Raw genomic sequence first — 17,522 nt, 5'->3', positions numbered from 1 at the left:
GCTAACTACTCTCTCTCCTACTCCTTACCACAGCCAAATGTCTTGACAGAACGGTATATAGTCTCTCCCTTCATTTCCTCTGCAAAAAAAGCTACTTCCTCTGCAAAATAAGTTAGTTTATCAAGATTCCAGGCCACAAGATCTATATATAAAAATTAATTGTACTCCTATCATTGTCTGTTTTCTGAAAATTGACCTATAAATTCAAGGCAATCTCAATTAAAATCCTAGCATATTTTTGTAGAAATTGACAAGATTCTAAAATTTGTATGAAAATTCAAAGAACCTAAAATATCAAAAATGATTTTGAGAAAGAGTGAAATCGTGGTATTTATACTACCTGATTTCTAACGTTTTTATTTTAAAATTTTTAATATTCATGGGTATATAGTAGGTGTATATATTTATGAGGTACATGAGATGTTTTGATGCAGGCATGCAATGTGAAATAAGCACATTATGGAGAATGGGGGATCCATGCCATCAAGCATTTATCCTTTGAGTCACAAACTATTCAATTACATGTTTTCAGTTATTTTTAAATGTACAATTAAGTTATTATTGACTATAGTCACCCTGTTGTGCTATCAAATAGTAGGTCTTATTCAGTCTTTCTAATTTTTTTTGTACTCATTAACCATCCCCACTTCCTCCGCAGCTCCCCACTACCTTAAGCCTTACTATTAGACTCTACTAATCTAGGCAATGTGGTATTGATGTAAGAATACACATGCAGATCTGTGGAACAAAATAGCATATGTACAAATAAATATATATAATATATAATTTCAACATATCTAAATGTTAGGTGTATATATATATATATATATATATATATATATATATATATTCAACTTATTTTGGACAAAGATACTACAAAAATTCAACAGAGAAAGTATACTCTCTTTCTTTAAAAATTAAAAAAAATTTTTTTTGGTGATGGGGTCTCTGTTGCCTAGGCTGGAGTCCAGTGGTGTGATCATAGCTCACTGCAGCCTCAAACTCTTGGGTTCAAGCGATCCTCTTGCCTCAGCCTCACAAGTAGCTAGGATGACAAGTGCATGCCATTATACCCAGGTAATTAAAAAAAATTTTTTTTGTAATGATAAGATCTTGCTTTGTTGCCCAGTCTGGTCTTTAACTCCTGGGCTCAAGTGATCCTCTTGCCTTTGTATCAAGTAAATTTTGTCACAAAAACATCATAAAAACATAGAATGTGGTCACATGGCCTTTTAGCAAAAAGTGTTGGTTCAGTTCCATGTCCAAAATACTGCATAAAAAGTACTTCTGGCCAGGTGTGGTGGCTCACACCTATAATCCCAGCATTTTGGGAGGCCGAGGTGGGTGGATCACCTGAGGTCAAGAGTTTGAGACCAGCCTGGCTAAAACGGTGAAACCCTGTCTCTACCAAAAATACAAAAAATTAGCTAGGTGTGGTGGTGGGCACCTGTAATCCCAGCTACTCTGGAGGCTGAGGCAGAAGAATCACTTGAACCCAGGAGGCAGAGGTTGCAGTGAGCTGAGATCGCACCTTTGCACTCCAGCCTGGGCGACAAGAGCGAGAATCCATCTAAAAAAAAAAAAGTCCTATTAAGTAACTGTTATTCTTTTTTGTGTCTTTTTTGTTTTGTCATTCTTTTTTGTCTTTATAAACATTCTTCACTCGTCAATTCTTGAGTTTGAAAAAATTCATCTAAGATATCTTCGTCTGAAGAAGATTCACAATCTGAAATTTCACTTACATAATCAGTTTCACTATCATCAGTCTGGAATGCTGTTATCTTTCTCTTTGTATTCACATCCTGCTTCATCTAAAAATTATAAAACTCCCCTTTGTCAGTTTTTCTTCTATTTGTCATTATGGGAAGAAAATATGAAAAATATCTGTATTCTCAAATGGGTTTATTCCTAAAAGCGAGCTAGAAAACAAAAACAAAATAGCATTGAAAAACATCCAATATCTAAGAGCAAAACCAGAAAAAGTGTACAAGGCTTCTAAACAGAAAGTTCTAAAACATTTTTTGAGAGGAAGTAAATGAGACCTAAATAAATAGGTAAATTGTAAATCTCAATATTGTAAAGACATCAATTCTTACCGATTTGATCTATAGATTCAAGACAATCCCAAATTCCAACAGGAATTTTTTTATTTGTGGAAATTGACAAGCCAACTCAAAAATTTATATGGAAATGTAAAAGGCCAAGAATAACTGAGGCAAATTTGAAGGACAAAACAAGACGTAATACCAGAAACCAAGCTTTATCTAGCTACAAGTATTAAGTTAATATGGTATTGACACAAGGATAGACAAGTAGACCAATGGAGCAGAGGATCTACAAACAAATCCACACATACATTATGTCAAAGACAACATTGCAATTCAGTGGGGGAAATGACAGTCTTTTCAATAATTGGTGCTTTTCAGTAAATAATTACTTGAGTATCCATACAAAGGAAAATGTATGTTGACCTTTTCTTCATATCATATACAGAAATGAATTCCAGATGGTTTGCAGATACAAATGTGAAAAGTAAAACAATATAGCTTTCAGAAAAAAATTTAGGAGAATATCTTTATAGAATAGGCAACTATAGGGAGTTCTCAGTGGCCATATCTGGGACAATTTGAGCAACAAAGTAAATAATGGATTATAACTGGTAGAATAAAAGAAATATACTCGGGTCCACTCTGATAGAAATAAATAATTAAATAAAGTTAGGAGAGGGATAGCTCTTTCTTTCTTTCTTTTTCCCCTTCCATTCTAGAAAAGCCAGGGATAGCTTTTTCCTATAGAAGAATTCCAATTAATAAGTGTATAAAGGATGACGGAAATAGATAATTATCATTAGGCAAACATCACAGTAATAATTATTGCAAGCAAGAAATGTTGATGGATGCTAAAATTAGTGGGCAAAAGTGTAAAGAGAAAAAAGATATTAGTATAGTCTCAAAGTATTTACCCCGCAAAATTCATCAATTGCAAAAGGGAAAATAACAACTTTATAGTGGAGAAACCGAGTAAACACCATCTTAGCCAAGTGATCAAGATTGCCATCAGCAGTAATAAGGCATATTGGCACCACATACCCCCTGACATGATGCATTAAGAAGAGTACAATATCACCTCTGTGATATTCTTGCCAAAAAATGCATAACTTCAATTTAATCATGAGAAAATGTCAAACAAGCTCCAATTAGGGACATTCTACAAAATAACTGACTAGTGCTCTTCAAAAGTATAGAGGTCATTGTATTAGTTTCCTATTGCTGCTGTAACAAATTACCACAAACATAGCGGCTTAAAGTAACACAAATTCATTTTCTTACAGTTCTGGAAGTCAGAAGTCTAAAGTTAAGTCATCAGCAGGGCTGCATTCCTTCTGGAGTCTCTAAAGGGAGAATCAATTCCCTTTTCTTTTAACCTTCTAGAGGCCACCTGCATGCCTTGGTTCATGACCCTTTCCTTACACTGCTCCACCATTTTGCTTCCATTGTTGTATTTCCTACTACTGACTCTTCTCTCCTGCCTGCCTTCCCCCTTATTAAGGACCTTTGTGATTACATTGGGGCTACCTGAACAATCCAGAGTTATCACCCCATCTTAAGATTCTTAACTTAATAGTATCTGCAAAGTCCTTTTTGTCATATAAGACTGGGATTAGAACATGAACATCTTTGGGGCCATTATTTAACCCTCCATAGTCATGAAAGATGAAGACTGAGGAATTGTCACAGATTGGAGGAGACTAAGGAGACATGATAATTAAATGCAATTGGATCCTGGACCAGAAAGAAGACATTAGTGGGACAACTGACAAAATTCAAATAAGGCCTGTAAATTAGTTAATTGTATTGGATCAATATTAATATCATGATTGCTAAAGCTGAACCATGGGTGTTTAAGATGTTAACGTTAGCTGGCATGGTGGCACACTGCTGTAGTCACAGCTACTTGAGGGGCTGAGGCAGGAGGATCCCTTGAGCCCAGAAGTTTGAGCTGTAATAGTGCCAGCCACCGCACTCCAGCCTGGGCAATAGCGTGCGACACTGTCTTAAAAAAATAAGATTCTAATATGAGGGGAATTTAGGTGAAGGGTATCTTGGAATGCTTTGTACTATTTTTGTAACTTTTTCATGAGTCTACAATTATTTCAAAATAATTAAAAGAAAGACATGGACAACAACAGCAAACCAAAGTAAGATACCACTACATTTTCATCAGCATGGCTAAAATGAAAGAATAAAAAAAAAAAGACAATGCCAACTGTTTAGCAAGGATGAAGAGAAACTTGAATTGTTATTCATCACTGGTAGGATTATAAATTGGTACAATAATTTGGAAAACTCCTTGGCAATATCTTTCAAAGGAGAGTATATATCCATACTGCATTACTTAATGGTTTCAATTCTAAGTATAAACTCAACAGAAGTGCAACTATGTTTACCAAAAAATATGTACAAGGCTACTATTGCTGCTGCAGCACTTGGGAGCCTGAAAAAGGGGAAGTGAGAGGAATCTCTCAATTCTCTTTAGATGGTGGCTGCAGTGGTGGTCAAGGCCATTGGAGAAGCACAGTGGCCAGGGTGGGGCTCCACAGTTGCAAAGAGGGGTGGGCAGGAGGAAGCAGTTCAGCTGTGGGGAGTAAAAACAAAGAGAAAGAACCACCAAAAGTGGGGAAATGTGGGAAAAATTCAAAAGGACAAAATACAATAGAACCACAGTGCTACAGAGCTTGAAATTACCAATGAAAAAAACTGAAATGTTGGGCTCTTTGACACTTCCTCATAAGGATACCAGAGGCAGAATGTCATATTAAGCTTGATATGTGACAGATCATTGTGTAAATTATTTTGCAGGAATACAAATTGATTCACTTACAGTTCCTCTGAACTTTGAATTGGCACATTTTTTTATAGTTGGTTTTTCTCCCTCATTTTCACCATCCTATTTCCACCCACTTCTAGTACCACCCACCTACTAATATGATTGACTCATGCATGTGAATTAAACCATTATTGTACATGTTTTTACTCTCTTGTCTCTCAACATTACTCTTAATTTGAACATTTCAACCTGAACATTTCAAATAGGTTTGGTATTTTCATGTCACTTTTCAAACTTTAAAATCTCACATCCACTTTCACAATCAACAGCTGCTCAGATTATCCTGTGAACTCACCTTTATTAAGATAGTATATTAGCCTTGAGAGGTGTAGAAAGCATGTACCAGTCCAGGATGTTGTAGCTTGAAAAGCTTAGGAAATAACACTAACAAAGAAAATATTAAAGAACTTGGACACATGGATAATTGTACTTCAAGTATCTGAAAGGTTTTTTTGTTTTTTTAGAGACAGGGTATTGTTTTGTTGCTCAGACTGGAGTACAGCGGTGCCATCATAGCTCACTGTAGCTTTGACCTCCTGGACTTAAGGGATCCTCCCACCTCAGCTTCCAGAATAACTAGAACTACAGGCATGCACCACCACACCCAGCTAACTAAAAAATACATATATTTTGGAGAGGAGGTGGAGCAAGATGACCAAATAGAAGTCTCCACCAATCATCTGCTCCTCAGGAACACCAAATTTAACAACTACCTGTACGAAAAAAAGCACCTCCATAAGAATAAAAATTCAGGTAAATAATCACAGTACCTGGTTTTAACTTCATACTGCTGAAATAGGCACTGAAGAGGATAGGAGAGATAATCTTGATTACTGTCACCACTCGTCCCCCACCCCCTGACAGTAACCATTTATCACTGAGAGACGATCTGTTTGCTTGGGAGAGGGAGAGCACAGCAATCATGAGACTTTGCATTGAATTCAGTGCTGCCCTGTCACAACAGAAAGCAAAACTGCACTGAACTTAGCTGACGCCCAATCACAGAGGGAGCATTTAGATGCGCCCTAGCCAGAGGGGAATTGCCCGTCCCAGTGGTGGGAACTTGAGTTCCACCAAGCCTCACCACTAATGGCTAAAGGTGTCTGCGGCCCTAAAAAAAAACTTGAAAGTAGTCTAGGTCACAAGAACTGCAACTCCTAGGCAAGTCATAGTACTGAGCTGGACTCAGAACCAGTGGACTTGGGGAACATGTGACCTACTGGGACACCAGCCAGGGTGGCTAAGGGAGTGCTTGTACCACCTGTCCCCGAACTCCAGAGAGCACAGCTCACAGCTCCTAAAAAGACCGCTTCCTTCTACTTGAGGAGAAGAGGGGGAAAAGTAAAGAAGACTTTGTCTAAACCTAGAGAAAGATATCAACATCCAATTACAAGAAGGTTATAGAACACCAACTAAATATATACACACCCAACACTGGAGCACCCAGAAATATAAAGCAAATATTATTTGAGCAAAAGAGGGACAGACTCCAATACAACAATAGCTGGAGACTTCAACACCCCACTTTCAGCACTGGACAGATCTTCCAGACAAAAAACCAACAAAGAAACACGAGACAATCTATACTATGAAACAAATGGACCTAATATACATTTACAGAACATTTTATCCAACAACTGCAAAATATGCATTTTTTTTCCTCAGCACATGGATCATTATCAAAGATAGAACATATGTTAGGTCACAAAACAAATCTTAAAATATTAAAAAAATTGAAACAATATTAAGTATCTTCTCTAACCAAAGTGGAATAAAACTAGAAATAAATAAGAGGAATTTTGGAAACTTTACAGACCCATGGAAATTAAACAATATGCGCCTGAATGACCAATGAGTCAATGAAGAAATTAAGAAGGAAATTGAAGATTTCTTGGAACAAAATGATACTGGAAACACAACATATGAAAACCTATGGGATACAGCAAAAGCAGTAGTAAGAGGGAAGTTTATAGCCATAAATGCCTACATAAAAAAGATGAAACATTTCAAATGCATGATTAGTAAAATCAGTAAAATTTCAAATGCATGACTAGTAAAATTAGAAAAATTAGTAGAAGAAAAGAAATAATAAAGATCATAGCAGAAAGATTGTAAATGAAATTTAAATGAAGAAAACATATAGAAGATCAACGAAACAAAAACTTTTTTTAAACATAAAGAAAATTGACAAACCATTATTCAGAATGACTAAGAAAAAAAGAGAGAAGACTCAAATAATATCAGAGCTGAAAAAGGAGTCATTACAACTGATACTGCAGAAATTCAAAAGATCATTGGTACTACTATGGAAATAAATTGGAAAATCTAGAGGAATGTACAAATTCCTAGACACATACAACCTACCATGATTGAACCAGGAAGAAATCCAAAATCTGAACAGACCAATAACAAATGATGAGGTAGAAGCTGTAATAAAGTCTCCCAGTGAAGAAAGAAATAAAGGGCATCCAAACTGGAAATGAAGAAGTCAAACTATCCTTTTTATGCAGATGATATGATCTTATATTTGGAAAAAAACCCAAATACTCCACCAAAACACTATTAGAACCGATAAGGAAATCAGTAAATTTGCAGGATACAAAATCAACATACAAAAATCAGTAACATTTCCATGTGTCAACAGTGAACAATCTGAAAAAGAAATCAAGAAAGTAATACCATTTACAAGAGCTACAAGTAAAATTAAATACATAGGAATTAAAGAAATGAAAGATCTCTACAATGAAAATGATAAAACACTGATGAAAGTAATGGAAGAGGACACAATAATGGAAGGATATTCCATGTTCATGGGTTGGAAGAATCAATATTGTTAAAATGTCCATACTACTCAAAGCAATCTATAGATTCAATGCAATCCCTATCAAAATACCAATGATATTTTTCACAGAAATAGAAAAAACAATCCTAAAATGTATATGAACTACAAAATACCCAGAATAGCCAAAGCTATACTAAGAAAAACAAACAAAACTGGAGGAATCACATTACATGACTTCAAATTATACAACAGTGCTATAGTAAACAAAGCAGCATGGTACTGGCATAAAAACAGACACATAGACCATTGGAACAGAATAGAGAACCCAGAAATAAATTCATACATTGAGAGTAAACTCATTTTTGACAAAGGTGCCAAGGACATACATAGGGGAAAGGACAGTCTCTTCAATAAATGGTGCTGGGAAAACTGGGTATCCACATACAGGAGAATGAAATTAGACCCCATCTCTCACCATATACAAAAACCAAATCAAAAGTGATTAGAGACTTAAATATGAGACCGGAAACCAGGAAACTATTATAAGAAAACTTTGGGGAAGCTCTTCAAGACACTGGAGTGGGCAAAGATTTCTTGAGTAATACCCCACAAGCACAGGCACCCAAAGCAAAAATGGACAAATGAGATCATGTCAAGTTAAAAGCTTCTGCACAGCAAAGGATACCATCAACAAAATGAAGTGACAATTCACAGAATGAAAGAGAATATTCGCAAACTATTCATCTGACAAGGGATTAACAACCAGAATATGTAAAGAGCTGAAACAACTCTATAGGAAAAAAAATCTAATAATCCAATTTAAAAATGGTCAAAAGATCTAAATAAACATTTCTCAAAAGAGGGCATACAAATGGCAGTCAGATGAAAAGGTGCTCAATAAAACTGATCGTTGGAGAAATGCAAATCAAAACTACAATGAGATATCATCTTACTCTAGTTAAAATGGCTTATATGCAAAAGACAGGCAATAACAAATGCTGGTGAGGATGTGGAGAAAAGGAACCCTCGTACACTGTTGGTGGGAATGTCAATTAGTAAAACCACTTTGGAAAACAGTTTGGAAGCTCCTCACAAAACTGAAAATAGAGCTACCATATGATCCAGCAATCCCATTGCTAGGTATATACCCAAAAGAAAGGAAATCAGTATATCAAAGAGATTGCACTCCCATGTTTAGTGTAGCACTACTCACAAAAGCCAAGATTTGGAAGCAACCTGAGTGTCCATCAACAGATGAATGGATAAAGAAAATGTGGTACATATACACAATGGAGTACTATTCAGCCATGAAAAAGAATGAGATCCTGTCATTTGCAACAACATGGATGGGAATGGAGGTCATTATGTCAAGTGAAATAAGCCAGGCACAGAAAGACAAACTTTGCGTGTTCTCACTTATTTGTGGGAACTAAAAATTAAAACAATTGAACTCATGGAGATAAAGTAGAAGGATGGTTACCAGAGGCTGGGAATGGTAGTAGGGGATGGTGAGAAAGTGGAGATGGTTAATGGGTACAAAAAAAAATAGAAGGAATGGATAAGACCTAGTATTTGCTAGCAAAACAGAGTAACTATAGTAAAAAATAATTTAATTGTAGAGTTTAAAATAATTAAGAGTATAATTTGATGGTTTGTAACATAAAGGATACATTCTTGAGGTTATGGATACCCCATTTACTCTGATGTGATTATTACTCATTGCATATCTGCATCAAAATATATCATGTAACCCATAAATATATATATACCTACTATATACCCCAAAAATAAAAAGTTAAAAAATTTAAAAATTCTATGAGGTAATAAAGAGATGAAAACCAGTGTAAAAAAATATTTTTTTAGAGATGGAATTTCGCTGTGTTGCCCAGGCTGGTTTCAAACTCCTGGCCTCAAGCCATCCTCTGGCCTCGGCCTCCCAAAGTGTTGGGATTACAGGTGTGAGTCACCGTGCCCAGCTATGAAAGGTTTTTATAATAAAATCCTGACTGACTGGGCCAGGCACGGTGGCTCATGCCTGTAGTCCCAGCACTTTGGGAGGCCGAGGTGGGGCAGATCACGAGGTCAGGAGATCGAGACCATCCTGGCTAACACGGTGAAACCCCGTCACTACTAAAAATACAAAAAATTAGCTGGGCGTGGTGGCGGGCGCTGGTAGTCCCAGCTACTCGGGAGGGTGAGGCAGGAGAATGGCGTGAACCCGGGAGGCGGAGCTTGCAGTGAGCAGAGATTGCACCACTGCACTCCAGCCTGGGTGACAGAGCGAGACTCCGTCTCAAAAAAAAAAAAAAAAAATCCTGACTGACTGTTTTCTAGCCTTACCAAAGAATGTACAGGGGAGAAATTGGCTTAAATTGCAGAACACTTTTGCAGTTAGAAGCAAGGGAAAATTTGGTGGTATGGATTTTTTGGTAAGGAAGCCAAAGTCTTGGAGATTAGTAGTAAAAGATAGAGTGGTGTAGTGGAAAGTGAGTGGTTAGAAAATAACACTGCCAATTCCTGCTTCTCATAAATGTCACCACATGCAAATCACTTATCTTCTGTGGCACTGTTTCCTCTTCTTTAAAATGTCTTGAACTTAAAATTTAGTTGTTTTTAATATATTGAATAGATTAAGGTCCTTCTTGAAAGAAATTTCCCTGCAAGATGTATGGACAATTAAGTTTTCCAATGTTACAAAATATTGTTCAAGGTTATATTGCTGTTATGTGATTTTTGACTTTCCCTATTCTGTTTCTTGATTAAAAAGCATTGTTACATTTTTCTTTTTCCCTTTCAAATAGGATGTTTGTTATAGGCCAATATCCTTTATGATTATAGATGCAAAAATCCTCAGAAAATACTAGCCAACTGAATCCAACAGCACATTAAAAGAATTGTTCTCCATGACCAAGTGGAATTATCCTAGGAATGCAAAGGTGGTTTAACAAAGGAAAATCAATCAATGTAAACCACCACATTAATAGAAGGAAGGAAAAAGACCACATGATTATCTCGATTTCGTTAAAAGAAATTATCAAGAAAGTGAAAAGACAACCTACACAATGGGAAAAGATACTTGTAAACCATATATCTAGTAAGGGTCTAGTGTCCAGAAAATATAAAGAACTCTTACAACTCAACACAAAAAGACAAACAACCTAATTATAAGTGGGCAAATAATTTGAAGAGACGTTTCTCCAAAGAAGATATATAAATGGCCAAACAGCACATGTAAAGAAAAGATGCCCAACATCATTAGTCATTAGGAAATTTAAATAAAAACTGGAATGAGGTTTTCACATTCACTAGGATGACTGTTACCAAGAAATGAAAGGAAACAAAACAGAAAATAGTAAGTGTTGGAGAGGATGTGGAGAGACTGTCTTAAATTGCAGAAGATTTTCTACATTTCTGGTGGTAATGTAAAGTGGTTGAGCCACTATGCAGAAAAGTTTGGTGGTTTCTTAAAAAGATTAACATAGAATTATGATATGACCCAGCAATTTCACTCCTAGGTGTATACCCAAAAGAATTGAGAACAGGTACTATAACAAATACATGTACACTCAGGTTCCAGCAGTATTATTCACAATAGCCAAAGTGGAAACAGCTCAAATATCTGTCAATGAAGGAATGAATAAACAAATTGTGGTACATTCATACAATGGAATATTATTCAGCCATGAAAAGGAATGAAGTACTGATATATGCTGCAATGTGTGGTTGAACCTTAAAAATTCTATGCTAAGTGATGGAAGCTAGACACAAGAGGTCACATATTGTATGATTCCACTTATACAAAATATTCAGAATAGGCAAATCCATAGAGACTGAAGGCAGGTTGGTGGTTGTCAGGGGCAGAGAGAGGGGGTAAGGAGGAATGCAGAGAATCTGCTTAATGGGCAAAGGGCTTCCTTTTGGGATGATGAAAATGTTTTGGAACTAGACAGAGGTGATTGTTGCACAACATCATGAATGCAATAAATGCCACTGAACTGTTCGCTTTTATAAATAAATGGTTAGTTTTATGTTATGTAAGTTTCACCTCAATAAAACTTTTTTAAAAAAATAAGATGTTTGAATTTGACTTGTTGCCTATCCACATAGGTCCTGGAAATCGAAGTTTCTTTCCAGTACTTAACTGCTGGCTTATGTCGTAGCAAACATTTAAGGAATGTGGCCATAAATGGGCTTATGGATTACTTGAAGCTGGAAAATCATTTGGAGATTTACAGAGGGGATTAGGTTTTGAGCAGCTCTTTCACTGTAACATTCAAATATATGGAAATATAACTAGAAACATCTTATGAATATTTACAATCTTAATAAATTGCTCTGATATTCGTGAAGTTATTTTACAAAATCAGATCATAGGATAGTCTTTAAGATTTGTGTATTTTTTTTACAAAGCTATGTTTTTTAAAGTTTGAGTGCTTTGTGAAAAATCACTTGTTTGAAATACATTCAAGGTTCATTTGAGTATTTAAAAGAAGAAACACATACAAGAATGTACTGCTTGTAATGACCTCAAACTGGAAACTACCCTAATATCCTTTAGCAGTAGAATGGATAAATTAACACACTGGGATAATATGCTACAATGAGAATGAATGCAATGCTATTACATAGTATTACATACTATACATAGTAATATGGATGTATCTCACAAACAATGCTGTGTGATAAAAGCCAGACACAAAAGAACACATAATGGATGACTCTATTAGAGTTCAAATATAAGGAACATTACTCTGTGGTGTTAGAAGTTAGGATAATGGTTACCCTTGTAGGGGCTAGTTACTGAACTGGTCACAAGGGGACTCCTGGAGTGTTCTTTTTTTTATCTGGATGCTGATTCCACGGATTGTATTCAGATTGTGAAAATTCATCAAACTGTACACCTGATTTGTGCTTTTCTTTATGTATGTTACACTTCAATGAAAATTTCCAAAAACAAGTAAGCCAGCAGATAAGCAAACAAATTCTTCAAATTCACATACCCTTTCAGCTAACTGCCCCATATTTCTTTGCCCCTTCTTAATCACAACCAGTTTCTTGAATATTCTATACTCACTGCCTTTATTGCCTCACTTTCTACTCATTATTCAACCCACACCAATGTGGCCTTCTGCCCCCAAAATTCCCCAAAATGAGCTCTCACAAAGATCACCAATGGCTTCTCATGTTGTTAAATCCGAAGGAAAAAATTCTATTCTCAACTTGCTTCACTTCCCAGCAATATTTATTTATTTATTTATTTATTTATTTATTTATTTATTTATTTTTCTTTTTTCCCCATACATTCTAGCCCATGAAGAGCCCAGCAATATTTAATTCTGCTAAACACTTCTTCATTCTTTAAAGCGTTCTCTTCCCATTGCTTTTGTGACACAGTATTCTTGTGGCATTCTTCCTACCTCTCTGATTACTCCATCTCTGTCTCCTCTTTGTCCTCTATCCAGCCATTAAGTGCTGAAGATTCCATGAAGACTCAGTTCTAGGTTTTCTCTTCTTATTCTGTACTCCCTTCTTAAATGATCTCATTCATTCCTATGCCTTTCAACACAATCCTAAATCCCAAGTAACCGAAATATCCTAGACTTCTCTAAGCTCCACACTCATATATTCAATTACCTAATTTACATCTGCATTTGGATGCTTCACAGACATCTCAAACTTAGCTTGTCCAAGACTAAAATCTTGATTTCTCTCTACCCTAAGCTTTTCTCTTACCCATCTCAATAAACTGCACCAACATCCATCCATTTTCTCAAATCAGGGACTTTTTAACAAGTTCTTTAGTTGGGCTGGGTGCAGTGGCTCATGCCTGTAATCCCAGCACTTTGGGAAGCAGGTGGATCACTTGAGGTCAGGAGTTTGAGACCAGCCTGACTAACATGGTGAAACCCCGTCTCTACTGAAAATACAAAAATTAGCTGGGTATGGTGGCACACACCTGTAATCCCAGCTACTCAGGAGGCTGAGGCAGGAGAATCACTTGAACCCAGGATGCGAAGGTTGCCGTGAGCCAAGATGGTGCCACTGCACTCCAGCCTGGGTGACAGACTGAGACTCAAAAAAAAAAAAAAGTTCTTCAGTTGCTCACATCCAAAATCTGGGAGTCCTGTAACTTTCTTCCTAATTGTCAATTCTAGCCATGAAAGAATGTGGGAAAAGAGGTGAAAGGATTCACAGCAACCTGTTCTGAAAGCTTTCTCTGAGGTTTGGCCAGGTAACTTGTCATGGGTATCGTAGTGCACCACCTAGATCTCCTCCAGCTGCTGGAAGTGTTGGCTGCTGATGATTCACAGCTGTGTCCCTCTTTAGGGACTTGCTCTTAGCCTAAGGTGGCCTTGTCCATGGTTATGTCCTCCCATGAAGGACAGAGGTGGTAAGCATCATGCATCCAATGAGAGTACAAAAACTCACACTCCTTGCCTCAGTTTCAGACAACTCTGAAAGGCCATTCCAGTTCCAGAGCTCCACGTGGGAGCAGCTGGAGCTTTCCATTTTAACTTCTCCCTCCTCCAAGTCCTGCTTCCCTCACTTCCTCACAGGCATTGATCCCAAATGTATTCCCTAATAAAACTCTTGTATGCAAATCTCTCTATCAGAGTCTGTTTCCAGGAAACTTGACCTAAGATAAACTAAAATTGTGCCTACCTAGAAAAGTGAAGTAGCCAGAGGCAACATCCAATTTAATACAAAGGGACACATTAATATAAGTGTGGGGTGGAGGGAGACAGAGCAACTCTACTTACAAGGAAGCCAAGATGCCTACCGTTCAGGGAACGAATAGGGAAGGCTGTGCTATTACAGGCATAGCTTAGAAAGATCTTACCTCTGCTCATGAGCAGATTTCAGCTGAGGTCCTTTTTATGCAGCTAGTCTAGGTTACCCCTCACTGCTTTTTTCTTATGAAAATAAACTCCTGGCCCAACAAGCTCAGAAAACAGCACTTTGCTAATAGCCACAGTGTGAAGCAGGAAAAGACTGATGGTGGAGGGCTCCTTCATCCTCTGTGTGCACCTTTCCTTAACACACACACAGACACACACATACACACGGACACACAGACACACACACACACAGTATTGTTTGCTATAGATCAAGGTCTAAAACAACCTATTTATATACCTGTCTGAGGGTAGTTACAGTTTTGAAAAATCATCAATGGGGAAGACAGTGCTCTAAGCCCAAAGAATTAATAATTTTCATACAAGTTTTCTGCAAATAATTTTATAGTTTTAGCTGTTATATTTAGGTCTTATATTTAGGAATTTATTTGGAGTTAATTTTTGTATATGGTGTGAGATTGGGGTCTAAATTCATTTGTTTGCATGTGAATATTCAGTTGTTTCAGCAATATTTGTTGAAAAGACTATTCTTGAGCCAAAATTTTTACTCTTGTCAAAAATCAATTGACCATAAATGTAAGGGTTAGCATTCAGTTCCTCCTTTAAAAATTATGTGTTATATATTTTCTTAAGGCAAAAGTAATGTATGTTTACTGCAAAAAAATACATGTAAGAAAAAATGAAGATCACGTATTTTTCCATCAATCTCAAGGTCACACATTCCACTATTGTTAACATTTTAAAAATACCCTTCCAGACTGTTTTCTGAAGAGTAATGTTACCATATAATGTTGATTTTTATTCTGCTTTTTAAAAAGCTTTACAGTGCCATGTGTATATTTCCATGTCAATAAATATAGATGAACATCAAATTATTTGTTTTATTGACTTCACGACAGTCCATAGTATGATTGTGCCTTAATTTTTTTACCTCTTCCCCTATTGTTAGATATTAGGTAGTTTCCAGCATATTCCCACTGTAACCTAGCTCTATGAACACCCTTATGCATACATCTTTCCACACCTGTCCAGTTATTTCAGAGGTAGAAAACTGCTAACCCACAGGCTGATTTCTGCTCACAGATATGTTTGGCTTAGATAGCACACCTTTTTAAAGAACAGTTATTCTGGTTTGGGGGGATTTGCTAGGATACATTCTTAGGAATAAGACTGCTGGGTCTCGTGGCACTTGGTTATGATTTAGCAAGGTTCTTCTACTTGCTTGCTCCAGGATGATTGCTGGACACTCTTACTGGCTGGGCTGGTGCATATTGGGTGGGTGAAAGACTGAGAGGATAAAGGGAGGCAAGCCTTCGCATTGTTGCATGAGGTTACTGATGACCCAACCAAGAAAGGTCTCTGAGGATACAGCATATCAAACTAGAAGTACAACTGGATTACGCATTAAAAGACACGGATCTAGTTCTAAGTCTACTATTATATAGCTCTATCAGTTTGGGCTAGTTATTTAACCTCTCTAAGTCTTATTTCCTTACAGGGTTGTTAGGAAAATCAACTGAGATATTGTGTGAAACATGTTTGGAAAACCACAGAGTCCTATACAATTGTAAGGCAGTACTATTCTAAATTGCCCAAACTGTTTACACAGGGTCAAACAAATCTAAGCTTAGAGTGTAAAGCACTGTCTGCTCTCAGAACCTTGCTTTTAGAGGAGCTACTTTCCAGGGATAGTCATGATTCTAGGTTGTGGAGAACTAATCTGGTACACTTCAGTTCCACAATCATTTATGGATGATTTCACATGCCAGATACTGTGGGTACCATGATGATTATGATTAGTCCCCGTCTTTTCAGAGCTTTACAGTCCACTAGAAAGAGACAAACACGTGTTGAGGTCATCAGAAAACAGAGGGATAAGGAATGTAATAGAGGAGAGAACCAAGACTGCAATACATAAGAGAAACACTCAAGGCCTGAAAGGGAGGGGGAGTGGTTTGAGGCAGAGTTCCACAGATAGGGTTGAGGAGGAGAAAGGACCAGATGTGTATATGTGTGTGTATGTGTGCACATGTGGGTGAGTGGTAGTCTATGCCAGTCGAGTTAATCTGTGGCTAGACTTTATCTTAGAATCTGTGTTCATTTCTATGCATTTGCATTTTCTTTTTTTAGTTTTGTGTTTCCCTTCATTTTCTAGTCAAGTTCTTTTTGAAAAATGCTAATCTGGTGTTAGCTGTACTAACAGGAAAAAAAAAGATCTGTCTACACCCATTCCAGGAGACTTAGAGAATCCAAAGTGTTCTTGAGGCCACTCATGCTGGTAGAAGTAAAGAGCCCATTTGGAAACTGGGGAAGAGGTTGGTGGCGCTCCTTCTTCCCTTGCTGCCTGCTTCATCTTGCGTTTTTCCCGGATCATATCCAAACCCCTTACCTTCCAACCATTTGTCTGCTGCCGCTGCAGCAGCAGCAACTACAGACTTCAGAAAAGGCCAGCTAAACAACATGTCCTTCCCTCTAGCCCACCTCCTTCCCTCTGTTTGGGTCATCTGAACTTTTCCCTTAAAGATAAAAAGCCAAATGCAATGGTTATTGAAGCCAGAAGAAATAAAAGATGTTGTTCTACTCTTAATGCTTATTAAACTCGGACTTAATCTTCTTCATCGCAATTAAGCCGTTAAACCAGCTAATATACTTACACGAGGTGAAATGAAAAGACTTACTGTAAGAGATGACAACAGGCTCTTCGGGAAATTAAAATCTTCAGAGATTTCCAAAGTGAGAGTTACTGAGCCAGGAAGGGGAAAGAAAGAAAAGGATTTTTAAAGCTTAATAAACAGGATGCCAATTAGACCACGGGATTAAAAAGCTAGGTGATGTCAGTGTTATCGATGGGAGGAGGGGTTAACTCGAGCGAGGGAATTAATAAGCACTGTGTTGCTTCCAGATCCTTCTTTGATTCAGTTTCCTTTAACCTGGACAGGTGTATCTTTTCTATCTTAGTTTACCTTCTGTGACGTGAGAAGAAACACGTGGTGATG

At 37.1% G+C, this 17,522-nt stretch overlaps 2 annotated features.

Moving 5' to 3' along the window:
- Nucleotides 4,507-4,556: a silencer, noted in NCBI's record as "silent region_20927". NCBI's record gives its function as "represses an Ori minimal core promoter by ATAC-STARR-seq in GM12878 lymphoblastoid cells {active_cell/tissue: GM12878}" and the evidence as "EXISTENCE:reporter gene assay evidence [ECO:0000049][PMID:35858748]".
- Nucleotides 5,786-5,969: a silencer, noted in NCBI's record as "fragment chrX:106640109-106640292 (GRCh37/hg19 assembly coordinates)". NCBI's record gives its function as "represses an EF-1alpha promoter that drives an FKBP-Casp9 reporter gene in an ReSE screen in HepG2 liver carcinoma cells {active_cell/tissue: HepG2}" and the evidence as "EXISTENCE:reporter gene assay evidence [ECO:0000049][PMID:32094911]".

The sequence above is a fragment of the Homo sapiens genome, chromosome X (assembly GCF_000001405.40).
Source record: "Homo sapiens chromosome X, GRCh38.p14 Primary Assembly".
Lineage (NCBI taxonomy): Eukaryota > Metazoa > Chordata > Mammalia > Primates > Hominidae > Homo > Homo sapiens.
The sequence above is the reverse complement of the archived record's forward strand: the minus strand, read 5'-3'. Positions and strand labels throughout refer to the sequence as shown.